The following is an 8,520-nucleotide window of genomic DNA, read 5'->3' on the forward strand; positions in this document are numbered from 1 at the left end:
CTTCGCATGCACAGTTCACAATAGGGTTCGCGCTCCTGTGAGAATCTAATGCTGCCACTGATCTGACAGGAGGTAGAACTCAGGTGGTAATGTTCTCTCGCCCATGCTCACCTCCTGCTGTGTGGCCCATTTCCTAACAGGCCATGGACTGGTACCAGTCCACGGCCTGGGGGTTGCGGACCCCTGCTCTAAGATTTCATCAATCTCTGTCCCAACCATTGCAGCAGCTTCTTCCTTGACAGCAATGACATTTAGAGGTTCAGGAACATGGCTCGTGTTTTCTCCAAGGATGTGCAGTAAGAGCATAACTTCTATTCCTCATGTAGTGCCTCCTTTGTCACCACCAATTTCTATCTCTTTTTTCTACCATCAATATTTTAATACCAGTGGCCTGCCTCTAAAGATTTCATGGCCCAACTTTTTAAATGTCAAAAAAAGTATGAAAATATCTGTTTCTTTAGGAATCTTGGTAAAAGAAAATTAAAAATATATATATAAAGGAAGTAGTTTGGGTAGCTTGAACAGTCTTCTCTATAACAAGAATCTTCAAAATTGTTTTCGTAGCAGAAGTCTCTTCTCAGATGAATCTTATGTAAAACAGATTATGTATTATACAACAGAGAAAACAGCAGAACTGTTCTGGATAAAGCAGAGATCTGACTTCCCAGAAACTGCTTGAAAATTCCTCAAAGGCCCTGGAGCAAGATCTCTTTGGACAATGGAAAGAAGATTAAGTTCATCAAGAGTGTCTTTTTAAAAACACTCATTCAAAATATTGAATGATATTCAATATTCATTCTTTGAATTTCTGCTCAATGCAAGGCAATGCCCTATAAACTGAGAGCAACAGTGAAAGACAGGGAAGGGATAGAAAGAAATCACTTCTTGATCTCATTCGGAAGGAGATAAAACAATTCATTATAATGGTTAAATATATGAGATTTGGAGCTATATAGCTTCAAAGCCGAGATCTTTCACCTCTTATCTGTGTGGTCCCAGGTAAGTTAATTAATCTAACTATGCCTCAGCTTCCACAAATGTGAAATAAAACCCATTAACTTGGTCCTTCACCAAATTACTGGTCCCTGCTAGGTGAGTATCACATTTTTTCTTTAACAAAAGCTTTACTGGATTGAACAGTAAGGATACAGCACAGTAAGGAATCTGTATGAGTCGGGAATCAAGGCAGAGTGCTCTGGCACCCAGTGGATGATCTTACAGTGGGTCCGTCTATAATCATTCCTATACCCTCGTTACCTCCTAGTAACTAGGAGGTAATCTGGTCAAAGATTCATGCCTCTAATATGTTAAATGAGATAAAAGCCCCATCCCTGGCCTTGGAGCCTCAAAAGTTTCTTTGCAAGGCTTAGTTACTAAAATAAGTTTCTGGAAAGCGAGGACCTCAGTCTGTCTATTCAAATCCCAGCGCCCTTTGTCCCAGGTCTGTCTTTCGGAGCTACCAGGCTGCAGACAGTATTCACAGTTTTGGTTCTGCTTCTTTGGAAGTATCACTCACAAATTAGATGTCATTTCAGTCTGGCATGCAGAGGTCCTTTCTTCTTTGGTATTAGGAATAAACTAGTTCCTTAAAAACAAGTATGAAGTCTGCCCACCTGGTCACTGTTAGAGGCAGGGAAAGAGCTTAAGTGACTGTGGGAACACAGTGTTTGAGCATGCATGTGTGTGCAGGAGTTGTGAAGGGGTAGAAATGAATGCTGAAGCAGACCTCTTTGATCAATACACCGACCTCACAGCAAGGAGAGTATTAAATAAAATCATGTATATAAAGCAGTTCAACACTTTATATTCATTCTATTGTAGGGAGACAGACAATAAGCAAGTAAAAAACACTCTGTGTTTGTTTTGCTGTTCTACTCAGTAACCATAAAGTGTACTTGTGTTGGTCAAGAGCAATTTGATTGCAAGAAATCAATTTAGTTTAAACTACCTAGACAAGGGGGAGTTATTTATGTATCACTCAGAAAAATAAATATCACACTTAGTTATCTGAGGGAATCATATATAGTAGAGGAAATAGTTTCACAGATGTTGGAAGCATGAAAGGGCAAAAAAGGGACCCTGAACTAACTCAGAAATGGTAACTGCAGGAAGAAACTACCTCCTCTAGGAGGGGGAACGCTGGGGAAACAGAATAGAAGGAGTATGTTCCCAGGGCCATGGATTTCAGGGGAGGTGCTCTGTGGACTAAGATTGCTGAGGAAGAGGCAGCTCCCTTCCAGCTGCTGTTGGCGCCTCTGGGGGCCTGTGCTAAGGCTGCTACTCAGGGGCCAAGACACTGGAAGCTGCAGCCAACTGCCACTAGTGCAAAGATGCTGCCAAAAACAGAAAACAGAAAGGACAGGCTCTTTCCCTTGGGCATTCTTATGTCCTTTAGTGCCTCTTATAAGCTCATGGGAAGCCAGCTAGCAGAGGGGCCTGGGAAATGCAGTTTGCAGAATACAGAAGGGCTGATTGAAGCTGAGAGATAATAGGTAAATAACTGGCAAACTGGTTCATGGAATCCAAGGAAGGCTCAACTCAGAAACCATATGAACCAGGACCTGCATGTAGCTAGGACTTCCTGTTTCTTCTCTAAATTCTGTTTCTCACTGCTCATCAGCTTAGGCAGTTCTGTTCTCCATGGCAATGGCAGCACATGGCTGCCCAAATCCCCCACATCTGACTCCCAACAACCGTGACCACCAGAGATAAATTAAAAATTAATTAAATTATACCTGCCTTTACTTGCTCTAGTATGACCTGGACCCAAATTTGTAGCCTTTTGAATTTCAGATTTGTTTTTTCTTTTCAAGGTAGATTAAATAAAATTGTTGACTTAGGGGAAATAGAGATGAGTGCATGTCAGTTAGAAGTCACAAAGTGCATTTTTTATTCTATTTCATATTATTTCAATAATGAGTCATTGTATAATATCTCAGGAGACATCAAAATTTTCAAAGGAATTATACTTACAGTATAAAAATTTAACACATACCTCTGTTCTGCTTCAGAGTACCATAGTTAACTCTTAGGCATGATTCTCCCTTTGTGGCTCCTTCCTCTCCTCCCACATCCTTTTGGCTAGAATTCCATTAACAACTGCACCACAGTGAGAAAAGGAAGAGAAAGATAAAATCAATGAAATTTAATTCAGACTGTTATGTTTGTACTTCAGGATTTTCAAGCATTTGGCAACAGGCACAGCAGCAAAACAAGCCTACAGAGCCCTGGCCTGCTATGTATTCGCTCTTGACCATGACTCTTTTCTGAGCTTGGGTTTTTAAAATTTTTATTTTTATAGTGAGAATAATAACAATTACATTTTTGCAGATAATATGAGAACCAAATAAGATAACATTTGCAGTTAAAAAAAAATCACTTCTCAGCCAGGTGCCGTAGTTCAAGTCTGTAGTCCCAGCACTATGGGAGGCCGAGGCGGGCAGATCACTTGAGATCAGGAGTTCAAGACCAGCCTGGCATGGCGAAACCCTGTCTCTACCAAAAAATATAAAAATTAGCTGGGCATGGTGGTGGATGCCTGTAGTCCCAGCTACTTGGGAAGCTGCAGCAGGAGAATCGCTTGAGCCTGGGAGGCGGAGGTTGCAGTGAGCCAAGATTGCACCACTGCACTCCAGCCTGGGCAAGACAGTAAGAACCTGTCTCAAAAAAAAAAAAAAAAATTCACTTCTTAGGCTCCCTCTGTCTTCTAAACATAAACACTCTAAGGACCAGCATGAATGGAGCTAAGGACAGGCCCCCCAGGCTTGCATATGTGAGGCAGGTGGCCTTTGCTGACCTTGCAGCTTGCCTATTCCACTGCCAGGATTAGAGGTCAGCAGAGTCAGGGAGGCTCAAGGTCAGGGAAAAGGAAGTTCAAATCTCAAAGTGGCCTAAGGCTAAGAAGAACCCAGAACTCAGAAGGGGCATGGCTACTCTGGAATCTAGCTCAACTCTCCTACGGATGCATTCACTTGAGTGGAACAGCCAGGATTGAAAACTCTGTGCACAAGCTGTTTAACAAGAAGACAGCAGCCCAAAGAACGTGTGAGTAAAGGCAGAAGAATCACAGTCACTTATTTTTAACAAAGTGAGTCCATTTCAATTGAGCTGTGTCTTTTGTTGATACCTAGTGGCTCAATCAGTTACTCAAAGGCAGCAGTTTTAAAACTTCCAAAGACTTCGTATTTGATCCAGGGTAAAACCTAAACTCCTTAGTCCTACATCCAGAGCCCTTCACAGCTATAGCTTCCATTACTTTCTCTCCGTAAGACAGCTCTTCCTCAATTGTGTCCAGCATTCTCATGACTCTTTGCCTTTGACGTAGGTTGTTCTCTTTCCCAAACTGCCTATTATTACTTCTGCTACTCGCCTTTTAAGGCAGAGATTGAATATCGTTTCCTCCCGGAAGCTGCGTGTTCTTACCTACTTCTCATAGCACACCCAACACGATACATAGCAATAAAAATCACTTGTCTCCCAACTAGACTATGAGTAATTCCTCTAATAAGAAGCTAGGGCTGATTCATCATACACTCCACCCCCTTGTCTCTTTCTATCCCATGTTTGGCATTTGTAACATTTTGTGAAATACCAGTTAGAATGGCTATTACTAAAAAGGCAAAAAATAGCAGATGCTGGCAGGATTTTGGAGAAAAGGGAATGCCTATACACTGCTGGTAGAAATGTAAATTAACTCAACTATAGTGGAGAGTAGTGTGGCAATTTCTCAGAGACCTTAAAGGAGAATTACCATTTGATCCAGCAATGCTATTATTGGGTATATACTCAAAGAAATATAAATTGTTTTATCATAAAGACACATGCACGTGTATGTTCATCACAGCACTGTTCACAATAGCAAAGTCATGGAATCAACCTAAACGTCTATCAATGGTAGATTGGATTTTAAAAATGTGGCACACATACATGATGGAATACTATGCTGTGATAAAAAGAATGAGATCATGTCCTTTGCAGCAAGATAGATGAAGCTGGAGGCCATAATCCTAAGTGAACTAACACAGAAACAGAAAACCAAATATGCATGTTTTCATAGGTGGAAGCTAAACATTGAGTACACATGGACACAAAGAAGGAAATGACAGACACTGGGGCTTACTTGAGGGTGGAAGGTGGGAGGAGGGAGAGGATCTAAAACTATTTGTGTACTTCACTTATTACCTGGGTGATGAAATAATGTGTACACCAAACAACTGTGACATGCAATTTACCCATATGCCAAACCCGCACATGTACCTGTGAACCAAAAATAATAATTAAAAACAAACAATGAAACAACAAAAAAGTGGGGTCCCCAGAAAAAAAAAACTTTGAAAGAATGAAAAAAAAATCTCTAAAATGAATATTTACCCCCGAACACACTCTTCTATGTGATTTCCCTTTCAATGAGAATAGCATGGTATAGTGGATAGTAGGTTCTAGGGCTTCACAGGACTTATTCTAGTTCTGGTGTCCCACCTATTAGCTATGTCCCCATAATCAAGTTACTTAACTTCTTTCAACCTCAGTACCTGCGTTCTTTCATTTTTATAATGAAAATAGTAATAATAATAATTACATTTCACAGAAAATGCAAGGTTCAAATAAGAAAATATTTGCAGTTTTTAAAAATATAAATGGAGAAATGCTATACAAAAGTTAAATATTTAAACATGAGAACAACTACAATTTTTAAAAACTGATTTACTCAGGGGATAGGGTAGCAATTAAAATTCAACCAGAACCAAAAAACAGCTAAAAAAATTAAAGGGGGGAAATAGAATGAGGGCATTTCATAGGTGGTTTCCGGTAAGAGGTAAATAAAAGTGGCTAATACTAATGTCCGAAATAAAATTTTGAAGATTTTCAGAGATGAATCAGCAGCTTCCTCATCAAAGAGTGGGAAAATTGCTATCACTGTTTTAACATTGATAATTAAATCAAAATGACAATAAACTAATTGCTTGCTATTAGAAGGCAATAAATAAAACACAAGTTTATATTTGAAATACAGCAGACAATTTTAAGATTTTTTTCTTCTGCTGTGCATCACCTTCACTTTATTGTCACATCAATTCTTTGGAACCACCTCTCACTTTTACTGTCTTTCTCCTTCTTGCCAGCTCCTCTCAGTTCTGACTTTAAATTTCTGCCTTTCCTCTCCTATGAGAATGATCTTTTAAAACAACTTTGAAGATCTTTCTCAAAACAACTTGGAAGATTAGAGCATACAATCAGATCACTTATAATCTCAACTTAGATTGAATCGAGACGCAATTCCAGTTACAAGAAAACAAGGTTAATTCATAAATGAGAACTTCAATTGTACTTTAAAATATAAACTTATGCAGTACTTACTTAATTATGTCATTGCATGTTGCCTCCTGTTCAACAGCCATCTCTTTTTTCCTGCTCAGCGATGCTGTAAATCGGCTTTCTATCCCAGCTCCAGGGGGTGAATGTCAATTATTACAGTTAATCTAGAATCACAATAATTGCACTCCCTTCACCAGTGATTGGTTCCATCGGAGGCATGTTATGTAATCCTGGCCAACTAGGCTAGAGGGAAGTATGCTTCTGGACTTTTTGAGGAAAGATTTTTAATCCTGATAAAAAGAGCTAGGTGATGAGAAATAGCTCATTTATGCTTCTCCATATGATTGTGTGAGCACATGACCTCTGGCTTCAGCAAAGACGAGGAGAGGCAATGCCTCCAGAGTAGAAAGGTTCGAGACTCCTGGATCATTTAGAAGAGGACTGGATTAGCACACTATGAAAACGTCCACTTTCAGATGTGATATTATGTAAAGTAACAAATCCTTTATTGTTTAAGCCACTTTCAAATTTTGTTCCATTTTGCTTTTCCAGCTGAAAACATCCTAAGACATGTAGTAAACTTTTGGTGAATTGAATTGTCTGGCTAACCAAAAGTTTTTAAAAATATCTTCCAGATTATCCTGAGAGAATACTAACACTGCCATCCCCCAAGTTTGCCTGTGAAATTCTAATGAAATACAGAAATAAATGCAAACATTCAATCATATAAGAACTACCGGGAGGGAGGAGCCAAGATGGCCGAATAGGAACAGCTTCGGTCTACAGCTCCCAGCGTGAGCGACGCAGAAGACGGGTGATTTCTGCATTTCCCTCTGAGGTACCGGGTTCATCTCACTAGGGAGTGCCAGACAGTGGGCGCAGGTCAGTGGGTGCGCGCACCGTGCGTGAGCCAAAGCAGGGCGAGGCATTGCCTCACTCGGGAAGCGCAAGGGGTCAGGGAGTTCCCTTTCCTAGTCAAAGAAAGGGGTGACAGATGGCACCTGGAAAATCGGGTCACTCCCACCCGAATACTGCGCTTTTCCGACAGGCTTAAAAAACGGCGCACCACGAGATTATATCCCACACCTGGCCCGGAGGGTCCTACGCCCACGGAGTCTCCCTGATTGCTAGCACAGCAGTCTGAGATCAAACTGCAAGGCGGCAGCGAGGCTGGGGGAGGGGCGCCCACCATTGCCCAGGCTTGCTTAGGTAAACAAAGCAGCCGCCAAGCTCGAACTGGGTGGAGCCCATCACAGCGAAAGGAGGCCTGCCTGCCTCTGTAGGCTCCACCTCTGGGAGCAGGGCACAGACAAACAAAAAGACAGCAGTAACCTGCAGACTTAAATGTCCCTGTCTGACAGCTTTGAAGAGAGCAGTGGTTCTCCCAGCACGCAGCTGGAGATCTGAGAATGGGCAGACTGCCTCCTCAAGTGGGTCCCTGACCCCTGACCCCTGAGCAGCCTAACTGGGAGGCACCCCCCCAGCAGGGGCAGACTGACACCTCACACGGCCGGGTACTCCAACAGACCTGCAGCTGAGGGTCCTGTCTGTTAGAAGGAAAACTAACAAACAGAAAGGACATCCACACCAAAAACCCATCTGTACATCACCATCATCAAAGACCAAAAGTACATAAAACCACAAAGATGGGTAAAAAACAGAGCAGAAAAACTGGAAACTCTAAAAAGCAGAGCGCCTCTCCTCGTCCAAAGGAACACAGTTCCTCACCAGCAACGGAACAAAGCTGGACGGAGAATGACTTTGACGAGCTGAGAGAAGAAGGCTTCAGACGATCAAATTACTCCGAGCTACGGAAGGACATTCAAACCAAAGGCAAAGAAGTTGAAAACTTTGAAAAAAATTTAGACGAATGTATAACTAGAATAACCAATACAGAGAAGTGCTTAAAGGAGCTGATGGAGCTGAAAACCAAGGCTCGAGAACTACGTGAAGAATGCAGAAGCCTCAGGAGCCGATGCGATCAACTGGAAGAAAGGGTTTCAGCAATGGAAGATGAAATGAATGAAATGAAGTGAGAAGGGAAGTTTAGAGAAAAAAGAATAAAAAGAGATGAGCAAAGCCTCCAAGAAATATGGGACTATGTGAAAAGACCAAATCTACGTCTGATTGGTGTACCTGAAAGTGATGGGGAGAATGGAACCAAGTTGGAAAACACTCTGCAGGATATCATCCAGGAGAACTTCC

General features: G+C 41.5%; 2 annotated features.

The window, feature by feature from the left end:
• Positions 6,774 to 7,404: an enhancer, noted in NCBI's record as "H3K27ac-H3K4me1 hESC enhancer chr1:66946325-66946955 (GRCh37/hg19 assembly coordinates)". NCBI's record gives its function as "activates a minimal SCP1, AML or CMV promoter by ChIP-STARR-seq in naive and primed H9 embryonic stem cells {active_cell/tissue: H9 hESC(naive and primed)}" and the evidence as "EXISTENCE:reporter gene assay evidence [ECO:0000049][PMID:30033119]".
• Positions 7,405 to 8,034: an enhancer, noted in NCBI's record as "H3K27ac-H3K4me1 hESC enhancer chr1:66946956-66947585 (GRCh37/hg19 assembly coordinates)". NCBI's record gives its function as "activates a minimal SCP1, AML or CMV promoter by ChIP-STARR-seq in naive H9 embryonic stem cells {active_cell/tissue: H9 hESC(naive)}" and the evidence as "EXISTENCE:reporter gene assay evidence [ECO:0000049][PMID:30033119]".

The sequence above is a fragment of the Homo sapiens genome, chromosome 1 (genome assembly GCF_000001405.40).
Source record: "Homo sapiens chromosome 1, GRCh38.p14 Primary Assembly".
Taxonomy (NCBI): Eukaryota; Metazoa; Chordata; class Mammalia; order Primates; family Hominidae; genus Homo; species Homo sapiens.